This window comes from Homo sapiens, chromosome 21 (assembly GCF_000001405.40).
Source record: "Homo sapiens chromosome 21, GRCh38.p14 Primary Assembly".
In the NCBI taxonomy this organism is placed as follows: domain Eukaryota; kingdom Metazoa; phylum Chordata; class Mammalia; order Primates; family Hominidae; genus Homo; species Homo sapiens.
The window spans coordinates 22,015,472-22,039,639 of record NC_000021.9 but is presented as its reverse complement, the minus strand read 5'-3'; the positions used below and the strand labels follow the sequence as shown (position 1 = coordinate 22,039,639).

General features: G+C 35.8%; 1 long non-coding RNA gene across 1 annotated transcript in view; it reads left to right on the top strand.

The window, feature by feature from the left end:
• LINC01687 (long intergenic non-protein coding RNA 1687) overlaps positions 1-24,168 on the top strand; it is an 89,302-nt gene that overhangs the window by 58,820 nt on the left and 6,314 nt on the right. The window contains exon 5 of the long non-coding RNA NR_109959.1: positions 23,230-23,340. This is a non-coding gene — a long non-coding RNA (long intergenic non-protein coding RNA 1687). The remainder of the gene's footprint in view (positions 1-23,229; positions 23,341-24,168) is intronic.

The following is a 24,168-nucleotide window of genomic DNA, read 5'->3' as shown; positions in this document are numbered from 1 at the left end:
CAATCCAAGGAAGCTAAGAATCACAAAAAAATAATGCAGAAGCTGACAGACAAAGTAGCTAGTATAGAAAATAATGTAAAGGAATTCATTACCAGCAGACATGCCTTACAAGAGCTCCTGAAGGAAGCACTAAACATGGAAAGGAAAGAATAAAATAGCCAGTATAGAAAAGAACGTAAGGGAATCCATTACCATCAGACCTGCCTTACAAGAGCTCCTGAAGGAAGCACTAAATATGGAAGGGAAAGAACATCACCAGCCACTATAAAAACACACTTAAGTACACAGACCAGTGACATTATAAAGTAACCACATAAACAAGTCTGCATAATAATCAATTAACATCATGATGACAGAATAAATGCACATATATAAATATTCACCTTGAATGTAAATAAGCTAAATGCCTCAAGTAAAAGGCACAAAGCAGTAAGCTGGATAAAGAACCAAGACCTATTGATACACTGTCTTTAAGAGATCATCTCACATGCAATGACACCTTTAAAATCAAAATAAAGGGATGGAGAAAAACCTACCAAGCAAATGGAAAACAGAAAAAAAGCAGGAGTTGCAATCCTAGTTTTACACAGAACGACAAGCCCAGGACCAGATGGATTCACAGCTGAATTCTACCAGATGTACAAAGAAGGGCTGGTACCATCCTTGCTGAAACTACTCCAAAAAAATTGAGGAAGTGGGATTCCTCCCTAAATCAATCTATGAGGCCAGCATCATCCTCATACCAAAACCTGGAAGAAACACAACAAAAAAAGAAAACTTCAGGCCAATATCCTTGATGAACATTGATGCAAAAGCCCTCGAAAAAAAAAAAAAAAAAACTTGCAAACCAAACTCAGCAGCACATCAAAAAGCTTATCCACCATAATAAAGTTGGCTTTATCCCAAGGATGATAGGTTGGCTGAACATAAATAAATCAATAAAAATGATTCATCACATAAACAGAAATAAAGACAAAAACTACATGATTATAGATGCAAAAAAAGCTTTTGATAAAAGTTAATACTTCTTCATGTTAAAAACTCTCAGTAAACTTGGTATTGAAGGAATATACCTCAGAACAGTAAGAGTTATCTATGACAAAACCACAGCCAACATCATACCTGAATGGGCAAAATTTGGAAGTGTTCCCCTCGAAAACCAGAATAAGACAAGGATGCCCTCTCTCACTACTCCTATTCAACATATAATTAGAAGTCCTGGCCAGAGCAATCAGGCAAGAGAAAGAAATAAAGGGCATCCAAATAGGAAGAGAGGAAGTTAAAATATCCCTGTTTGCAGACATGATCCTATATCTAGAAAATCCTATAGTAAGGACCCAAAAGTTCCTTAAGCTGATAAACAATGTCATCAAAGCCTCAGGATGCAAAAATCAGTGTACAAAAATCACTAGCATTCCTATACTCCAACAAGGGTCAAGCCAAGAGCCAAATCTGGAACGCAACCCCATTCACAATTGCCACAAAAACAATAAAATACCTGGGAATACAGTTAATAAGGGAGGTGAAATATCTATGCAAGGAGAACTAACAAACAATGCTCAAAGAAATCAGAGGTGACACAAACAAATAAACATCCTATGCTCAGCTCATGGATTAGAAGGATCAATATTGTTAAAATGGCCATACTGCCCAAAGAAATTTTTTAATTAAATGCTATTCCTATTAAATTACCAATGACATGCTTCACAGAACTAGAAAAAACTATTTTAAAATTTATGTGGATCCAAAAAAGAACCTGAATAGTCAAGGCAATCCAAAGCAAAAAGAACATCCAGCTTAGGATACCTCCTAAGCTGGAGCCAACGCTCTACCTGACTTCAAAGTATAATACAGGGCTACAGTAGCCAAAACAGCATGGTCATGGTACAAAAACAGACACCTAGACCAATAAAGCAGAATAGAGAGCCCAGAAATAAAGCCACACAACTACAACCATCTGATCTTTGACAAAGCTGACAAAAACAAGCAATGGGGAAAGGATTTTCTATTTCATAAATGGCCCTGGGATAGCTAGCTAACCACATGCAGAAGATTGAAATTAGACCTTTCCTTATTACCATATACAAAAATTAATTCAGTATTTAAAAAATACCTAAATGTAAAACCCAAAACTATAAAAACCCTGGAAAACAACCTGGGCGGTACAATTCTGGACATAGAAACAAGCAAAGATTTCATGAAGAAGATGCCAAAAATTATTGCAATTAAAACAAAAATTGACAAGTGGGATTTAATTATACTTAAGAGCTTTTGCACAGCAAAAGAATCTATCAGCAGAGTAAACACACCACCCACAGAATGGGAGAAAATTTTTTCAAACAGTGTATCTGACAAAGGACTAATATCCAGTATCTATAAGTAACTTAAAAAAATTTACAAGAAAAAAACAAACAAACAGGCAGTGTGCAGTGGCTCACAACTATAATCCCAGCACTTTTGGAGGCCAAAGCAGATTGATCACTTGGGCCTAGGAGTTTGAGGCCAGTCTGGGCAACATGGTGAAACCACATCTCTACAAAATAAATAAATAAAAATAAAAATAAAAATTACAACAACAAAAACGCTAGGTGTGGTGGTGTGTGCCTGTAGTCCTAGCTACTTGGGAGGCTGAGATGGGAGGATCCCTTGAACAAAGGAGACAGAGGCTGCAGTGAGCTGAAATTGCACCACTGCCCTCCAGCCTAGATGACAGAGTGAGATCCTGTTTCAAAACAAACAAATAATTCCATTAAAAAGTGGGTAAAAGATATGAATGGACACTTTTCAAAAGAACACATACATTCAGCCAACAATCATATGAAAAGAAGCTCAACATCACTGATGATTAGACAAATGCAAATCAAAACCAAAGAGAAAAACATCTCACACAAGTCAGAATGATTATTATTAAAACTCAAAAACTAACAGATGCTGCCAAGGTTGTGGAGAAAAAGAAACACTTATACACTGTTGTTGGGAGGGTAAATTAGTTCAACCATTGTGGAAGACAGTGTGGCCATTCCTCAAAGACCTAAAAATCGAAGTACCATCCAACCCAGCAATCTCATCACTGGGTATAAACCCAAAAGAATATAAATCATTTTATCATAAACACACATGCACACATATGTTTGTTGCAACACTATTCACAATAGCAAAGACATGGAATCAACCTAAATGCCCATCAAAGGTAGAGGGGATAAAGAAAATGTGGTACATATAGACCATGGAATACTATGCAGCCATAAAAATGAATGAGATAATGTCTTTTGCAGGAATATGGAAGGAACCGAAGGTTCTTACCCTTAGCAAACTCACATGAACAGAAAACCAAATACCACATGTTTTGACCTATAAGTAGGAGCTAAATGATGATTACACATGGACACGTAGAAGAAGGGAACAGCAGACACTGGGATCTATTGGAGGGTGAAGGGTAGGAAGAGGGAGAAGATCAGGAAAAATAACTAATTGGTACTAGACTTAATACCTGGGTGATGAAATAATCTGTACAACAAATCCCCATGACACAAGTCTACCTATATAACAAATACACACAGGTACCTCTAAACTTAAAATAAAAGTTAAAGAAACAAAGGCACTCTTAGAATGCTGAATTGAAATGGAGTCAGTGGGCAGGCCCAGGCTTCCATCCCAGAAAAATGATGGAGATTTTTTTCCACTCTTGAAAAAGCACAATGAGATACCATCTCACATAAATCAGAATGGCTATGTTTAAAAAGTTTAGAAAACAACAGATGCTGATGAGACTGCAGAGAAAAGAGATCACTTACACATTGTTGTTGGGAATGCAAATTAGTTCAGCCACTGTGGAAACAGTTTGGAGATTTCTTGAAGAACTTGAAACAGAACTACATCTGACCCAAAAATCTAAAAGAAAATAAATCATTCCACCAGAATGACACATGCACTTGTATGGTTATCATGGCACCATGCACAATGGCAAAGACATAGAATCAATCTAGGTGCCCGTCCATGGCAGATTGGATGAAGAAAATGTGGTACATATACACCATGGAATACTATGCAGCCATAAAAAACAATGAGATCATGTCCTTTGCAACAACATGGATGCAGCTAGTGGCCATTATCTTAAGCGAATTAAGACAGGAACAGAAAACCAGATATCACATGTTCTCATTTATAAATGGGAGCTAAACATTGAGTACTCATGGACATAAAGATGGGAATAATAGATCCTGGGGACTATTGGAGGGGCGAGGGAAGCAGGTAAACAAGAATTGAAAAACTAATTGTCAAAACAAAGGTTGAAAAAGTATGCTCACTACCTGGGTGATGGGATCATTCAAATCCCATACCTCAGCATCATGCAAAATACCTATGTAACAAACCTGCACATATACCCCTTGAATCTAAAAAAAAAGTTGAAATTATTTTAAAAATTTTAAAATAAAAATACTTAAAAGAATCAATGCGTGCATGGGTGGTGGTACCCATCACTACATGGACATAAGCCATAAATGTTTGGCAGCTTACTACAGTTTCACTCAATGTGGCCTTGGCAAACAGGGGTGATGGGAAATCCTCCCTCTGGCCAGGACTTCAGGTAGTGTATCTGTTATTACAGTTTGTGGAATATATAGAGACTCCTTAGCAGTAGCAATTTTTCTAGCCAAATGGTTACAAATACCAAGAAGAAGAAGGAGAAGAAGAGGAAGAAGAGGAGGAAGAGGAAGAAGAAGAAGAAGAAGAAGAAGAAGAAGAAGAAGAAGAAGAAGAAGAAGAAGAAGAAGAAGAAGAAGAAGAAGAAAAAGAAGAAGAGGAAGAAGAGGAAGAAGCAGAAGAAAAGAAGAAGAAGAAGGAGGAGGAGGAGGAGAGGAAGAAGAAGGAGGAGGAGGAGGGGGAAGGGGAAGAAACAGGGAACAAGGAATTACAGAGTAGAGACAGTGAGTAATATTTATCACATTTTAACGCCCACCAGAGAGCACTTCAACACAGCACATGCAATAAAGAGCCAAATATAAAAAATAGCCAGGTGATATGGTTTGGCTTTGTGCCCCCACCCAAATATCATCTTGAATTGTAGCTCCCATAATTTCCACGTGTTGTGGGAGGGACCTGGTGGTAAATAATTGAATCATGGGGGTGGATCTTTCCTGTGCTATTCTCATGATAGTGAATAAGTCTCATGAGATCTGGTGGTTTTATAAAGGGGAATTTCCCTGCACAAGCTCTTTTCTCTTGCCTGCTGCTATGTGAGATGTGACTTTGACCTTCCGCCATGATTGTGAGGCTTCCCCAGCCACATGGAACTGTGAGTCCATTAAACATTTTTATTTTGTAAATTGCCCAGTCTAAGATATGTCTTTATCAGCAGCATGAGAGCAGACTAATACAGCAAGCAAATTTTATTAGCCGGGCTTAGTCACTGGACACATCAATATTGGCATGTTGGGCACATGAACAAAGTGGTTTTAGTGGCAGAGATGGAGGCTAAGTATGAAGATATCGATATGACTATTCTAGCTATTAGCACCACCAAATGTCTATCCCAGCAGCAAGAAAGCTGAAAGCTAAACCCCAACGGGAATTTAATTCTCAAGGAGATCAGATGGCCTCTTGAAGACAAGTTGCCTAAAATCAGCCTTTCTACTCTGCAATGGTGGGTGGCTTATTCTCATGTAAATATACATGAATTCTGGATCTGAGTTTCTTTTTCTTACATGCACGGCCTTGGCCTCATGTTCTATGCCTTACAGCAAAGAGTGAGGAAAGGGGCTCAAGTTTATGATACCCACTGATCTTATACCATCCAGAAACTTCTACTCTCATAGAGCATTGCCTGCTCAGAGTCTATATGAAATTCAAGTGTGAATATAATAACAGATGAAACTTGGGTGCCATCCTTCTAGATGTAGAATACACAATGAATCAAAGACATTGTGTTCCTAGCATGAAGCACCCATAGGCCTGGAACCAAGTCACAGAAGCATGAGCATTCCCACTTACTGTCATTCACAATGATCCATTGAGTTTGTGCTTCTTGTTCCTACATGTAGGGTTCTGCAGGATTAGAGGTCTCAGTCTGTAATGGCAGCACAATTTCTCTAGGAGACATAGCAAAAGTTCTATTTAATTCTAATTTAATTATAAAATTACATTTCTGTTTAATTTAATTTAATGATGGCTGTTTCCTGTGAAATTTTGATTCTTTGGGTAAAGGGAAGAGTAGGCAAAAGAAAGAAGTACTAAATTGGCAGGAATTAATTATCAGGAGGAGGTAAGGTTGCTCTAGTACAGAGAGAGAGAAAAGAATAATATGCCTGGGAACCAGATGATCTATTTAGTGCCTTCCTTTGTGAAAATATGAATGTAAATGGACAAGTAAAACAGCCTTTGGGTACATGGTGACCAGGAGGCTCAAGCACATCATGAATCAGGGTAAAGGTCACCATACCAGATAAGCAAAGTTTCACTAACTTCCTTATTCTAAGTGTCTCTCAGGAAGGGTGGTCCATCACTTCATAGCAGAGCCACCTGTTCAATGTTCACGTGGAATTAGAGATGATCTGTCTAAGGGTTACACTGTGGTAGACATGGTGACAGGCTGCTTACATACTCTTGCGAGGGAAAATGTGTCCTATGGCTCTGGGGAGTTGACCTGGTCATCAGACACTTCGGGATCTTCCAGATTTGCAGACAGCTCACTGGTTCAAGCTCTCAACCTTCTCAGGGGATGATCTAGGTGGAGAAGAAAAAGTCCAGCCAGTTTGGCCTTATGGAGGACAATTCTCATATGAAAATCTCAAGCCATGCTCTTTGCAAATTGTCTGCACATTTGTCATAGCTCACATTCTCCCTCTGCCAATCCTGTTTCTTCCCATTCTTTTCACAGGTGTGGATCCTGATAAATACCTTAAGACTCACATTCTGTATTATTTTCTGCTTCCGGAGTACCCATCATAAGGCATCCACTGTAAAAAATAAAAAGGAATCTGATTTTCAATAAGCAACTTGTTGCAACAAGGCAATATTCTTTACTCAAGTTCTAGAGTTCTCATACAAAGATGATTCCAAGCAAGCATTAGATATTTTTGTTTATTATTTTATTTTAATTTTATTTTATTTCTTTTCTCTCAACTTTAATGTTAGGTTTAAGGTGTACATCTTCAGGTTCAACACATGGACAAATTTTGTGTTACTGAGGTTTGGCGTATGAATGATCCCATCACCCAGCTAGAATTCAAGCCTTAGATATTTTGAGTTTTTAAAGGTAAGCCAACAACACATTCTAGAAATAAACAAGCTATACATGCAAATTTCCTTTTTAACGAAACACAACATTCACTTCTAACACAGCTCAGAAAAATATATCGCTTGAGGAGAAAATGTTAACACGCTTGCTACATTCCAAACTGTGAATCTGTATGTGATGTGTTTAGCACCAAAAATCAGCATTGGCACTTATCTGAAAAAGAGTAAATATATTAGTTATTGAAAATTCTACTCCTCCATTATCATTTATTTACGTGGAATGTAAAATTCCTGGGTTATAAAAATACAATTTAAATGTTAAATTTAACCAATTTGATATCTTAGGTGATTCCAGTAAAATGTATTATATTTTTCAGTAGGTATAGAGGAAAAAATGTTACTGTAATAAAGTAGCTTTAAATAGTTATAAAGTGATAATTCATCCCGAATTTTTTGCTATTTTGTTTTTGTTTAATTTTCTTGCTAATATTATTAAATTGTGGGACAAAAGTTTGATCTTTGACTATGTATGTTGTACCTACTTCTAAATATTTATGTTCCCAAGTGTGTTTATTCTTCACTAATTGGGAAAGTTATAAAAATGGCACTAGATCACCCTTTTTCATACCAGTGAATACCGAATATGTGAAAGATTAGATCTTAACAGTTTTCATTATTACATTTTCTTTTTTATAATATAGCTAGTTATACATTTGGTATTGTTAGTTTTAATATTTTCGTAATGCATTTCATCAATGTGAGAGGGCAGGAGGCAACCAAATGCCTAGGCAGATAGGGGTGGGTCCCTGGTGAAACGTCACCTCTAAGCCGAAGACAATTTAAAGCCTGAAAGTCAAGCTACAAGTTAAATCCTCAGACTGGCTTGGCAACTTGTCTCCCTGTTTAGTGGGCTTTCCTCTGATTTCCCCACCCTTCACCTATTTTACATATACCTACCCTTCCCTAATTGGTTTCTACACTGTCATGCCCACCTTTGAATGATGTCTTCACTTTAACCTTTTATCGTTATTGAAAAATTACATTTAAAAATTATCTGTAAATATTTGGGAGAAATGTCATAGGCAATCACTTAATTTGCTTATGATGGTTGTCCTTCTGTGCAAAAAATACTGACTATCCAATGTGAGACACAGAAAGGGTTGTGGAGCCATGTTTTTCATTTCTTCCAGCAATAAATGTTTAATTTGCTTGGGAAAAGCAAACACTAAGTTGACAATGACTCAATTTTTATGGTACATGGAAAGATCTATCATTTTCAAATATGTATGTCATTCAATATTTTCAGTAAATACTTCCATATTGGTAGAACATGCTGTAAACCAAATTATTCTTACAGTTTAGAAGTCAATTTTTCAGAAATTCCACGAATTAGATTATCATTACCTTTTTTTTTTTTTTTAATTATACTTTAAGTTCTGGGATACATGTGCAGAACGTGCAGGTTTGTTACATAGGTTTACATGTGCCATGGTAGTTTTCTGCACTCATCAACCTGTCATCTGCATTAGGTATTTCTCCTAATGCAATCCCTCCCCTAGAGCCCTAACCCCCAACAGGCCCCGGTGTGTGATGTTCCCTCCTTCCCTGTGCCCTTATGTTCTCAGTGTTCAACTCCCACTTATGAGCAATTATGAGTGACAACATGCGGTGTTTGGTTTTCTGTTCCTGTGTTAGTCTGCCGAGAACGATGGTTTCCAGCTTCATCCATGTCCCTCCAAAGGACATGAACTCATTCTTTCCTATGGCTGCATAGTATTCCATGATGTATGTGTGCCACATTTTCTTAATCCAGTCTAAAATTGATGGGCATTTGTGTTGGTTCCAAGTTCTCGCTATTGTGAATAATGCTGCAATAAACATACATGTGCATGTGTCTTTGTAGTAGAATGAGTCATAATCCTTTGTGCATATACCCAGTAATGGGATTGCTGATCAAATGGTATTTCTAGTTCCAGATCCTTGAGGAATCGCGACACTGTCTTACACAATGGTTGAACTAATTTATACGCCCACCAACAGTGTAAAAGCCTTCCTATTTCTCTACAACCTCTCCAGTAACTGTTTTTTCCTGACTTTTTAATGATCGCCATTCTAACTGGCATGAGATGGTATCTCATTGTGGTTTTGATTTGCATTTCTCTAACAACCAGTGATGATGACCTTTTTTTCATGTTTTTTGGCCGCATAAATGTCTTCTTTTGAAAGTGTCTGTTTATATCCTTTGCCCAGTTTTGATGTTTTTTTTTTATTTTCTTGTAAATTTGTGTAAGTGCCTTGTAGATTCTGGATATTAGCCCTTTGTCAGATGGAGAGATTGCAAAATTTTCTCCCATTCTGTAGGTTGCCTGTTGACTCCGACGATAGTTTCTTTTGCCATGCAGAAGCTCTTTAGTTTAATTAAATCCCATTTGTCTACTTTGGCTTTTGTTGCAATTGCTTTTGGTGTTTTAGTCATTAAGTCATTGCCCATGCGTATGTGGAACAGAACAGAAGACTCAGAAATAACACCACACATCTACAACCATCTGATCTTTGACAAAAACAAGCAATGGGGAAAAAATTTCCTATTTAATAAATGGTGTTGGGAAAACTGGCTAGCCATATGCAGAGAACTGAAACTGGACCCCTTCCTTATACCTTATACAAAAATTAACTCAAGATGGATTAAAGATTTAAACGTAAGACCTAAAACCATAAAAACCCTAGAAGACATTTTATGTCTTAAGTGAAAGTTTTGTGATAAAATGTTTATTCTATCATTTTATGATGATGAACTTTGGTTTATTTTAAACCCCTATAATGATTGGAATTTTATTTTGTTTTACCAGTCTTCATAATAAAGGAATAAACAAAATCATGAAAAATAACCTACTGCATTTAAATGAGAGTGCAGTGAGCCATTTAACATTATTCGTGTTATATCATGAACATGTGAATTGCTTGGCAATAGCAGACTCATCCAAAAAGTTCAGACAATTAAAATGGAGAAATAGTGTTGTCCAAAGCATGTTTAATTCCCTAGATTGCTTTCAGCTATGATTTTTCAAATTTACTCACTTCAACATTTCTGATGTTCAATATTGACCAATGATATTTCCTTGCCTGAAACTATTAGCCAAAAATAAGGAAATAAATAAAACAAGCTTGAATTTGGGTGAAATTTTATATAAAGATGAAATGCTATACATTGTTTATATAGTGTATGAATAGAATAACAATTTGTCAACCCAGTCTAATGCAAAGTTAGCCACATAATTGTCTTAAATATTTGAGGAAGATATTTAAAGTAATGCAAGTGAGATATGTGATTTTGTTAAAATGCCATAATGATAAAAATGTACTATAGACTGTGTGGCTTATCAATAATGGAAACTTATTTCTCATAGTCTTGGAGGATGGAAATTGGAGATGAGCACCATCCTAACCGGGTTTTATGAGGAGCCTTTTCAAGTTTGCTGATTATTATTATTATTATCATTATTATTATTATTTGAGATAAAGTCTCGCTCTGTCGCCCAGGCTGGAGTGCAGTGACATGATCTCGGCTCACTGCAACCTCCGCCTCCTGGATTCAAACGATTCTCCCACCTCAGCCTCCCCAGTAGCTGGGATTACAGGTGCCTGACACCGCGCCTGGCTAATTTTTTGTATTTTTAGTAGAGAGGGGGGTTTCTTCATGTTGGTCAGGCTGGTCTTGAACTCCTGACCTCAGGTGATCCGCCCACCTCAGCCTCCCAAAGTGCTGAGATTACAGGCATGAGCCAACGTGCCCAGCTGACTACTAGTTTTCATTGCATCTTCACTTGCAGAAAGAGCTAGAGCTAGCTCTATGGCTTCTTATTAAGGCACTAATCCCATTCATGAAGGCTTCACCCTTGTGGCCTAACTACCTCCCAAAGGCCCCACCTTCAAACACCATTATTCAGGGACTTGGATTTCAACATATGAACTTTGCAGGGGGATGTTTGTGGGGGGGTTACAAACATTCAGATCAAAGGCTACATCATAGTCACTTTTCTTTGTCTATTTTGTGTCCTACGAAGACATAGATTGGAACTTAATGCCTTTAACATGTTTATAGAGGCTAGTTTTAATAGGCTTCTTTAATTGTTACCTCTGAAGTTTGAGTGATCTCTTGGTATTTGAAAATCTTATCTAAAAGATTTACACAACTGTCAAGAAAAAGAAGTTTTAAAAAGCTTATATCCACTACCAAAAAAAAAAATAATTTCATTAGGTGTTTTGAAACAACATGCTCAAATATGTCAGTCAAGTTGAGGAGCTGTGAGCTCACCTATATATCAATTATTGCAAATCTATTCAAATAATACTAAAGCTTTGCATTGTCTTAGCAGCAAATCATCTAAATATGTAAAACATTTCTTTCTTTTCTTTTTTTTTTTTTTTTGAGATGGAATCTTGCTCTGTTGCCCAGGCTGGAGTGCAGTGGTGCAATCTTGGCTCACTGCAATCTCCGTCTCCTGGGTTCAAGCAATTCTCCTGCCTTTGCCTCCTGAGTGTCTGGGATTATAGGCACAGGCGCAGGCCACCACGTCCAGCTATTTTTTGTATTTTTAATTGACATGGGATTTCCCCATGTTGGTCAGGCTGGTCTCAAACTCCTCACCTCATGATCTGCCCGTCTCGGCCTCCTTTTAAAGTTCTGGGTTTAGAGGCATGAGCCACCCAATATACCCAGCCAAATGCTTCCTTTTTAAATTTCTTCCTCTCCTTCTCCATCTCTCTCTTCTGTTCCCCACCTCCACAATTTGGAAGTAGCGGAGCACCTGCTTATGAATGCTAAGACTATAATATTAAGGGAGACTGCTAAAATATTAAGTTACTTTCATGCATGCAACCTGACATGTGTTATAAGAAAGCTGCATTTAGGTACCAAAACTCGAATGCAATGTATATGCCAGATTTATTCTCTTCCAATGTAGAGATCTTAGAGTTTTTTTTTCTTTTTCTTTTTTTTTTTTTTTTGAGACGGAGTCTCACTCTGTCGCCCAGGCTGGAGTGCAGTGGTGCAATCTCAGCTCACTGCAAACTCCGCCTCCCGGGTTCACGCCATTCTCCTGCCTCAGCCTCCCGAGTAGCTGGGACTACAGGCGCCCGCCACCATACCCGGCTAATTTTTTGTGTTTTTAGTAGAGACGGTGTTTCACCGTGTTAGCCAGGATGATCTCGATCTCCTGACCTCATGATCCCCCCTTCTCGGCCTCCCAAAGTACTGGGATTACAGGCGTGAGCCACCGCACCTGGCCAAGTTTTTTTCTTAATTTACTAGAATTTATGTTGTGGATCTTTTGTAGAAAACCTGATGTTTTGCTCAGCTGCATGTAATTAGACTATTTTTAATAGAAAGGATAACACAGTTTTCAGTTCAGCAGAGGAATGAAGGACATACTCAGGTCACTTAATAGTTGCCCATCACCTGGTCATGCCTGCCCCAAAGATTACTTTTCTCCTTTCCCCTCCTCAGGTTTCTGAAAAAACATGTGAGCCAAAAGAGTTAGTTACATAAGTTAGGAAACTATCATAGAATATTGCTTCTTTGATTCAAAGTATAAATTGTTCCCGCTTTCCAGTTCCTTGGAACCCCTAGTGTGATTTTGAGTCTAAATTATTGGGATAATCATCTCAATTCCTCATTTCCCTCAGTTATGAAAATTTGCCCTGGGTGTTTTATGTGAATGAGAATATGTAATTGAGCTGTTAAATGAATATAAGCTTAAGACATTTAAAAATTTTGATAGAATTATTTGGTGTGTGCACTTAATACCACCGGACCCTTCCAACCATTTATATAAATGCAACTACTAATCACTTATATTAGAATGAACTGATATGTCAATAGCACCATCTTTAAACTCTTGAGGCTTTTGTCTTCTATATGAGGTATTTAATTTCATGCTTTAATAAAACTGCTGATTTATATTCTCTACTAACTAATCCTTCTGACTGTTCAATAATAATTAAATTGTATGGTGTTTTCCAAAAAGACAATTTTAAGCTGTTACTGGAAAGAGAAAAGAGCTGCTTGCATAAATGTCAGCTGGCTTTGTTGTTTGTTAAAGTGGCTAAAAGTCTTTACTAAATTGAAATATGTCAATGTTAGAGTGTAGAAGTTTAGAAACTTTTCAGTTAGTTTATGCTTTATACTTTTATTATGTTTCAGTGCAAAATTTAAATAAACAACTCAGAATTTCCATTATTTTCTGTGGCAAAATAAATCACACTATTTGTACTTGCCTATTCATTTATGTAATCTTTCATAACTCCAACCAAACAAAACTACTTAAATACCTAATTCATTTCCTCAGTTTGATCTTTTGTTAATTTTTAAATCCCAGAGTATTATTGTGATTGTTATTTAATTTGATGTTTTTCATTTTTGAGTTCATGGCATTCTGGCTTACTCTTAATAAAACCAAAATTCATGGGTTCAAAATTTAATTTCAAAAAACTACACATTATGTTAAAAATTAAAAAAAAAATTTAGAGTACATATTATACTAAAATTTTAGATTTTCTCTAAAATTTGATTACTATACTGAGTTTAGATTATCTGCTTTAGAAATATGTGATTAAATATGCATAAGCAGTACTATGAATATATACTTTTTTTTTCAGATTATAAACCTAAAGTAATGTAACATTTTAAACATTTAAATATTTTAAAAGGAAATTAATATTTCTGCTTTTGATTTAGGTTCTACTGACTTTGAGTATTTGAATTATTTGTTGGAATGGTACACCTAAGCAAACATATTATGCTATTTCTCAGAGAAATCAGTTCTTTCAATTCAAAGCAAACTAAAAATCTGCTATGTGCTGGGTAATTTAAAAGAGAATAGTGAGTGAATTTCTTTGCTAGAATGTGTTAAGTTTTAGGTATGTTCTGCTCCTTACTTCTACTCATATTTGCTAGATTGTATTGAATTATGGGGGAATGTAGTAATGTCTATTTTAGGAAGAAAGAAAAATACCGTTTCAGATATCTACTTTTGAAATACTACAAATATCATATTTACTTTTTTACCTAAATCAACTATTTTGGTTTTGTTTTTATTTATTTATTTATTTTAATGGCATACTGTCCTAGATATATGGGTGTTTTATCTTCTTTTATCTCTATGAAAATATTGAGTTTTAAAAAACATTTCCTGCTTCTTGTTTGGACTATCTGCTGCAATTTGTTTGTCATTTAGTTTGATTTTACTCTTTTTCATAGCATATAATTTTCTCTAATTTTGGCCATCTTAGCTGGCAGGTTATGTTGAAGAGTAAGACAGGGAAAGAGACTACTATGCATTTGTACAGGAAGACTAATCAAAGGGTCCTCAATTTAGGGTGTGGTATTATTGAGTTTTCCCTTGAGGACAAAGAAATGCCATTAACTAGATGCTTTTCTCTGGTATCATTATTTTCTTCATTTAAAAAACTATCATTCATCTTACTTGTTGGCGAAAGCTTGAATTTTTGCATGCTAGATTTAAAGTAGGAGAATAGAGCTGGAACAACGGCCGCATCATTAAATTAACACATTATCTTTTAATCTTTCGATTTTCCATATGGTAGTCCCACCTCAGCTGTGCCTGATTTCCTTAAGTACATATTACCTCTGGTGGGTAATTTTCTAGAAGCCTATTTGTATCTTTCAAACCATTCTCCTAAATTAAACCTTGCAGCCACTTTGAGGGCACTTGGTGTCATAAGAACCTGAACCTATTCTAGATTTTGCAAGACGCATAGATGACATCTGAGCTTCCTATTGGTTTTTATCTCTGCTTTCTCAGTCTAAGTCAATTATCACAAATTTATTTGCTTTTCAACTTTCAAGAAAAAAAATTTAACCTGCCATTTTTCTACTATTCCGTTCGTTCTTGTAAACTGCATGCTTTCCTCCTTTTCAGGTCTTTTTATTGTGTTTTTTATTGTTGGGAATTCAGAAAGTATTAAGGAAAACACATGTTAAATCCACCATCTTTAAGTGAAAGACCTTATTTTAAACTACGTAAGGAAAATAAGAGAAATTTACTATTTTCATTTGTTTTAGTTAGTTATTTTATTTTTTAATTTTTATTTTAAGTTCAGAGGTACAAGTGCAGTTTGTTACATAGGTAAACTTGTGTTATGGGGATTTGTTGTACAGATTATTTCATCACCCAGGTATAAAGTCTAGTATCCATTAGTTATTTGATCTTCTCCTTCCTCCCACCCTCCACCCTCCAAAAGGCCTCAGTGTTTGTCATTTCCTTCTACGTGTCTGTGTGTAAAAGACAGAAATAGCCCTTGACTCAGCAATCCCATTACTGGGTGTATGCCCAAAGGAATATAAATCATTCTATTATAAAGACACGTGCACACATATATTCATTTCAGCACTGTTCACAATAGCAAAGATATGGAATCAACCTACATGCTCATCAATGATAGACTGGATAAAGAAAATGTGGTATATACACACCATGGAAAACTATACAGCCATAAAAAATAGTTCTTTGCAGGAACATGCATGGAGCTGGAAGTCATTATACTTAGCAAGCTAACACAGGAACAGAAAACCGAATACCACATGTTCTCACTTTTAAGCAAGAACTAAATAATAAGAGAAAATTATTTGAGAAAAATATTTTAGAAAGTTAAAATATGATAAATATATTTCCTCAATTAGAATGCTTCAATATATATTTTTCTAAAAATAAAACAAAAAGTTATATATCCCAATTTGACCAAGGTTGCTCTTTTTTGGGGGAAAGAAGCTAATATCATTTTGATTGTACTAGTCAAGAAAATGTCATCATTAGTTACTAATATGTTCCTCAAAGTTCTAGGTTCTAAGGATGAAAAAAGAATTATAAGCCAAAATTCTTCCCCTTATGAGATTTATAGTATGAAATAAAACTCTCTCTGGAAGTTTCTTTTGATCTTAATTTTTGGTGATTCTTATAACTCAATTGGCATTTTTTTCTTTAATTATCTTGTTAGTGTTGCTATGTGATTGGAAATTCAGTTACTTTTCAAAGTCTTAAGTAAAATTTTCAACACTGATTTTCTTGTAAAACTTTTTTTTCAAAAACTGCAGTTTTGATGGACAGTTTTCTTGTATTTAAAATTTCTTAAGGTCTTTGATTCAAAGTAGGGGAGTAGATTTTAGACATTCAAGTGTACCAGAGGAAGTAAAGCTGAACAAAATGCTAGATATTGCAAATACTGAATCTTTCAGTAATAACATCCAGTTCTCCATTACCTTAGTTTCTTCAGCAATAGCTTTGGAATTGTGTATGTTAGTTGAATATTTAATGTATCTCTTAAATCTAAGGAAAATACTACTTGATATTTGTAGGTCATTTATTAATTTTCCTGATAACTGTCTTATTGCCATTATGAATTAAAATGTCTGTTTTGTTTGTTTGTATCACATTGTTCATAAATAATGTTGCCTCAAATTTGCATTATGTAGTATTATACCTTCAAATGTATATTTGAAGTTTTTTGTTTTTTATTTAACAAGGACTTTATATTTTGCAGAGATATTTTTAGATTTCCCAATCTTGAGAGTTTTTAGATGCTTCAGAAAGGATCTACAAAATATAAAATAACATGGAAAACAGATGAGGAAAAAAATGAAATAAAGTAGATCTGAAAACAAAATTGTTAAAGTTCCCAGGAAACCCAGAATAATTGTATATTTAGGTACTTTAGTTATCTTTTTTTCTGTGATTCCATGGTTAATTCACCTTTGTAAAATCATCCTATTCTCTGTCATTTCTTTATTTATATTTTCCTTTTAAAAATTATCAAAATGAACTGTTGCCTGTAACCATAGCACGCTCAGATGTTTTTCATGTAAAACATTGCAACCCTGTCTGCTTTGTTGTATTGGTCAAATTTGACTCATCCGTTAAATCAAGAGTTAGAAATGGGAGACTTCCTCTTGATGTTGCAGAAGTGAACACTCCACATGAAAGCAGGACTGCAATGGACTGTAAGCAAGGTTTGCTTTAGAGAGCAGGATTCTGTCATTAACATAGAATTTGGAAGCCCAAATATAACACAGGCGTCATGTTCGCCAATAGGCTCACTATGAAGGTGTATAAACATAATGAGGAACAATCTTGGCCAGGATCATAGAGCTTGCCATTAACCTGGCCAAATTATGAATACAGAAATTCAGATTTGCCAGTCCATTTCTCCTATGGCTTTTAGTAGTTTATAGATAATATTTATCTTAAACAAACAAACAAAGGGCCATTCAGAAGCATTGGAATGTAGCCATTATACCCATGACCAGTCAGTATATTTCGTATTAAAAAGGTTTTTCAGCAAGCATATTTATGCATCCCTTACATGAATGAAATAGTAAATTACTTAAAGGTGATTCAGACTTTTATGATATAATTAGACCTTAACATATATTTATATCTTTAAATGATTTAAATACGTGAAATGTAGGGAGGTGCCAGACATTATATCAGAGGACAACTAAAATATTTATATTATTACTAAAATGGTTCTTTTTTATTATCTCAAAACAGTTACTAAATATTTTAAATTACAGAGAGCAAAATAACGTTTATTGCTTTTCTTTCATATTTTTATCTTCATAGATATCATTATTTCCTCATAATGCAGCTACCAAATTCAGATACTATGATTTCTCTCTCTCTCTCCCTCTCTGTGCGTATGTATATATGTTATATGATATATGCATATATGATTTGTTTATAAATACAAAAGATTATTTGTATTTTATTTATAAACATGATTTATTTGTATTTACACACAAACATACATATATTTGTGCTTATATATTATATGACTTTCATTAAAATTTTGCTTTGCCACATTGTGTCAGATTGTTTCAATTAAGATTTTCAAGTGTACATTTTATTTCACTTATTATGTTCCATTGATATTTTACTTACATATTTAAAGTTTTTTTACTCTTTTTCTTATTCTTTCATACATGTCTCATGTCTACTTCCTCATGCCAGTCACTCTAATTGCTCAAGGGAGTTCTTCTTTGTAATTTAGGCAATTTTGACATGTTCTCTCTATATTTGAAATATCCAAGGTAATGTACAAATACCTCAATTTTTTTTCATTTATTAACTCTACCAGTAAAGGTAAATAATTTTAGAAACATAAGCACTAGCTTGAATCTTGGGATTAGAAGCTAGCAACATCTTTTTCTTTTTCTGGATCTGAAGGCCTCTGGCATTAATTTACATATGAAATTATTTTGGTTGTGTAATCTTAACAGAATTACACGTATAGATATATTTGTCGTTCCTTGAAATGAAACAAATAAATACAAAATGTGTGATCTCTAGGTTTGGCAAATAATTATTGAAGTAGTATGGAAAAATAATTTCCTGTTAACTAGGAATTTAATTCCACTGTAAGACCGAAGAATCATTTTAATTAAAAATATTAATTTATTCCTTGGAGTAGAATATAAGTTTTTCAGAATATTGTTTAATACAAGCCACTGAAAGCAAGATTAGTTGATCTGCTTAACAGTAGAAATAAAAGGCACTTGGAGAATAGAATAAAGCAAACTCTGAAAGAAAAAGAAAGGGATAAGGAACAAAAAGCATCATCCTCAGACCATTTTATAGAACTAACATACAATGAGACAATCAGAAAACTATTGTTCATAGTTCTCTCTCATTTCTCTATCTCTTTTGAGCAGAGTTGTTGACAACTTTTGTTCTGGACTATCTTTTTGAGATTACTTGTATAACCAAATGCCTTGGAAAAGAGAGATATTGTCTCATTCCAGAGCAGAGGACTGATTTGTCTGTTGTCTAGTTTAAGAAAGATAGTTTCCATCTGTTGGAAAGGTTGAGCTGATTTCCTTGCAGCCCACTTACTACAGATGGCGTTTCTTAAGCCTGGGCTTTCTCAGCTGGAGCTTAAAGCCACTAGATGTGTACCATTCAGCTGGAATAGCCCTCCCCTCCATATCGCCACAGAGAGACTCGTGGGGCAAGAAGAATCTAAACAAACATGAATCTCATGCTGTGTGCTGTGCCCTGAGTAATGAAGTCTGTTTCACTGAACCAATAAGATTTTGTCTTCTTCCAGCATGCAATTAACTGTATGGCAAGCTAAATTGCTTGCAAGTAAGGCAACATCACAGACACTTCACAGTTCTTGAAAAGGTCTCTTTGAAGATCTTTTCATTTCTATTATGAATTATAAAACCCCAAATTTCTCATTGGATTTGATTTCCCTCCTTCTTTTTTTTCTCTTTCTTTCTTTCGTTTGTTCTTTTCTTTCTTTTTTTCTGTCTTTCTGGATTATTGTGTTCTTGTTTTCAGTGGAAATCAGAGAAATGGTCTCAGTTACCCTTCTGGATTTAAAAAACCCAAGAAGTACAATGTCTGAGTCATAGTCATATGATAACATGAGTAACTATTTAGGATTTTGCAAAGTAAAATTATGAGGTCTGAAGTGTACATGAAAACATAAACCTCATGAAATTCACAGAAAAAATGAGAAGGATGTAGAGTTTTCTTACAAGTAAAGAAAAGTCCAAATCTATCTGGTGTTGATAAAGGAAAAATTAAAACAGCTGCCATCTGTGTTTCACTATTTAAGCACAAATAATGAAACAATGTATGCATTCAAAGAAACGTGAGTTCTTAATTCACAACAGAGATTTAGAGTATGGCTATATATACGTGCGAACACACACACACACATATATATATATATATAAATTCTGTGATTTATGGTTGATTTTTCCTCACATTTTCTGGGACTTTTAAATTTTCATCAACAAAATTATTTAACGCTACAGATTTTGCCTGTTTTCCTTTTAATAATCTTTTACCCAGAAATTTCCCTCTCCATTGTAACAACCTGTAAAGAAGCTATCTCACCAAGTCAAATCAGATTAAACACTTTCTAGGTTAATTGTTGGAATTCTTATCAATTCAACCAACCAATATTTATTATCAGAAACAATTATGCATGCAGGTAGATTCAGAATTATCAAAATACATATTACAGAATTGCCCAATTTATTGACTTTTTTGTTACTTTTTTATAATACTGGGGAAATTAAAACAATGAAGCAAAGAGACATTTATAATGACCTGTATAAAATCAGATCAAATGGGAAATAGAAACTAAAGATTTTTAGTAATAACTGAGAAGAAAAAAATGTTCTACTCTCTCACAGTGGTGTTCCCCCCTAACCACTATTTTTTGTTATTAAGGTCTTCTGGGATCCTTCCGATGCGATATTATTCATTTAAACTATTCAATGAAACTTGAAATAGCATTCATTAGAAACAAACTTTGATTTATTTTTAAATTGTTTTCCATTAAAGTTACAAAAGTTTGCAATTAGAATAGACCCTAGAGAATATCTTGTTCAAATCTCTTATTGTACAGATAATGAGTTAAAAAAATTGTTAAGATGAACGAAATATTCCCTAATCCCTTTTCCTACCACAGAGAATACTAAACGTTGTCATTTGCATTCAGTCCACTGCTTCTTTCTATCATATTATCCTACATTAGAGACATGATCTTATTCTGAATTCAGGGAAACAATGCCTCTTATATTCCCTAAAGTAGTGCCTACTCTCAGGAATTTTCATGTATTTTCATTTCTAATTTTTCTCTGATATTTTATCATTCAGTGAGCCATATATTATAAAAATACATTTTAAAAAATCCGAAGTTATACTTGCTAAAATGAGTAAAAATTATAGTGATTATTTATTAGGCAGTTAATTCATACCATGATATAACAGACTTCTAAAGTTACACACATACACACACACACACACACACACACACTCACACGAAGGCCAGATCATGAAACAATCAAGTAAGCTATAAATATGAAAATACCAATAAAGACAAAAAGAAAAGAGCTTCATAGGATAGATACAAAGTAGACATAAAGTCTTAATAAAAACCTAGCCTGGCACAACATAAACTAATTTTGTGTTTAACATCTGTCTACTTTGCATTTATTCTGAAGTATCTTAATATATTATAGCTTTTGTGTTATCTTTATTGTTGTTAATGTTGTTATTTTAGTAGAAAAATAGAAATTTAAATAAAAGAAAATCATACCTTTGGGAGAATTATTAGCTTCCAAAATATATATGTGAGATGGTTAATACTGTCAACTTGATTGGATTGAAGGATACAAAGTATTGATCCTGGGTGTGTCTGTGAGAGTGTTGCCAAAGGAGATTAACATTTGAGTCACTGGGTTGGGGAAGAAAGATCCACCCTTAATCTCATGGGCATAACCTAATCAGCTGCCAGCGAATATAAAGCAGGCAGAAAAACTTGAAAAGGAGAGACTGGCCTAGCCTCCCAGCCTACATCTTTCTCCCGTGCTAGATGCTTCCTGCTCTCAAACATCAGACTCCAAGTTCTTCAGTTTTGGGACTCGGGCTGGCTCTGCCTCCTCCTCAGCTTGCAGACAGCCTATTGTGGGACCTAGTGATTGTGTAAGTTAATGCTTAATAAAGTCCCCTTTATATATATATTGTATTAGTTCTGTCCTAGAGAACCCTGACTAATAAAGATTTTGTTACGAGGAAGGGTTATAGAGAAACAGAATATTAAGGATGGAGTTCTTTCACTGGTTTTGGGGTTATCTGGAGTTGGCTGCTTAATATGATTAGATCCAAAAATGCAAAAGACTCTACTTCTCACAGTATGGAGAACACTGATAGTCCTTGGCGTGAACTGTCAAGAGAGTAGTGCAAAATAAATGCATTTGACACTCCTGATTCACCACTGGCTAAGAGGCAAGAAGTTTAGTGACTCTATACATAATACCTTTGACTATATGTGGAGATCCAAGGAAAATAATGAAGGTGGTTGGCTGCTCCTAAGTTCAGTGGACATAATGATGAAAGAAAATGATGAACTTAGAGCTTCTGTCTTCTAGCTTCAGAAGCAGACACTGAGCCTCAAATCTGCTAAGATTGCCCTGAGTGAGAGTCTTATCTCCTGTAGAGAAAGAGCTGAAACTGTGAAAAAACAGACAAGCTCTTATCATACGAGTGAGTGGTGTACCTGCAAGGAAAGATGCATGCACAGCCTTGCCAGGTGTCTACTGTTAAAGTGAGGGCATTGATTGGAAAATAATGGGATGCTGCAAGTTGGAATGGGGATGTGTGGGAGGACCCTGATGAAGCTGGGGACACTGAGTTTGTGAACTCTGATGAACCTTTTTTGCCAGAAGGAACAGCTTCCCCATCCCCAGTAGTGGCATAATTTCCTCCCCAACTCATGCTGCCGTCAGCCTTTCCACTTTTGTCTGAGGAGATAAACCCTGCGCTGCTTGAGGCAACAATGATGGCCTCTCCTGAGGCAGTTGCCAGGCAAGATAATGTTGGTTCTCCTCAGCAGCCACCCCAACCCTTCTGTTTGCTTCTAGACCTATAACTAGACTAAAGTCCCTATGGGCCCCTAGAGGCGAGGTTGAGAGTGTGACCCATGGGAGGTGCACTACACTCAAAAAGAACTGTTTGAGTTCTCTAATTTATATAAACAGAAATCTGAGGAACAGGCATGGGAATGGATATTAAAAGTATGGGATAATTGTGGAAGAACATAGAGTTGAATCAGACTGAATTTATTGATTTGGGCCCAGTAAGTAGGGACTCTGTCTTAGTGCTGCACTCAGGGAATTAAAAAAGGTTCTAACAGTTTATTTGCTTGGTTAGCTGAAATATGGATTAAAAGATAGCCCACTGTGAGTCAGCTGGAAATGCCTGATCTCCCTAGGTTTAATGTCAAGGAAGGGATCCAAAGGCTTAGGGAGCTTGGGATGGTGGAATGGATTAGTCACTTTAGACCTACACGTCCCAGCTGGGAGGGTCCAGAAGATATACCCTTGACCGATGCCTTGTGAAATAGTGAGGGCAGCGCCTGCATCGTTGAAGAGCCCTGTAATTGCTCGTCTCTCTATTTCAGATCTAACGGTGGGAACCTAAGTCACACAACTACAAAATTTAAATACAATGGGAATAATTGGATGCTGAGGTGGTAGGCACCAAGTGACAGCACTCAACTATCAACCTCAAGGTAGGCATAGCTACCATAATGGACAGCAGAGGCAAAGTGGCAATCAGAATAGTCTGACTCGTGTAGAGCTCTGGCATTGGCTAATTAATCACAGTGTTTCTAGAGCTGAAATTGATAGGAAGACTGCAGCATTCCTGTTTAATTTATATAAGCAGAAAATTTCTAGGTCGAATGGACAAAATATTAATTTGAATTATAAAAACAGAGAATCACGGCCCCTCAAACAATTTCCAGACATGAGTCAGTTTACAGACCCAGAACATCTTGAATGCACGGGGAGGGTGGATCCTGTTTAGGAAGGACCCCACTACATTACCGACAATATGCAGTGAATCTTTCTCCCATCCTTCCCCAAGGAGACCTCTGGCCTTTACCAGGTAACTGTGCAATGGGGAAAGGGAAATGATGAGACATTTCAGGGACTACTGGACACTGGCTCTGAACTGACGTTGATTCCAGGGGACCCAAAACATCATTGTGTTTTTGTTTTTGTTGTTATTGTTTTTGAGACGGAGTTTTGCTCTTGTTGCCCTGGCTGGAGTGCAATGGCGGGATCTCAGCTCACTGCAACCTCCACCTCCAGGTTCAACCGATTCTCCTGCCTCAGCCTCCCGAGTAGCTGGGATTAGAGGCATGCACCACCACACCCAGCTAATTTTGTATTTTTAGTAGAGACGGGTTTTCACCATGTTCAGGCTAGTCTCAAACTCCTGACCTCAGATGATCTGTCTGCTTTGGCCTCCCAGTGCTGGGATTATAGGTGTTAGCCAAAAAAGGTCATTGTAATCCTCCACTTAAAGTAAGTGCTTATGGAGATCAAGCAATTAA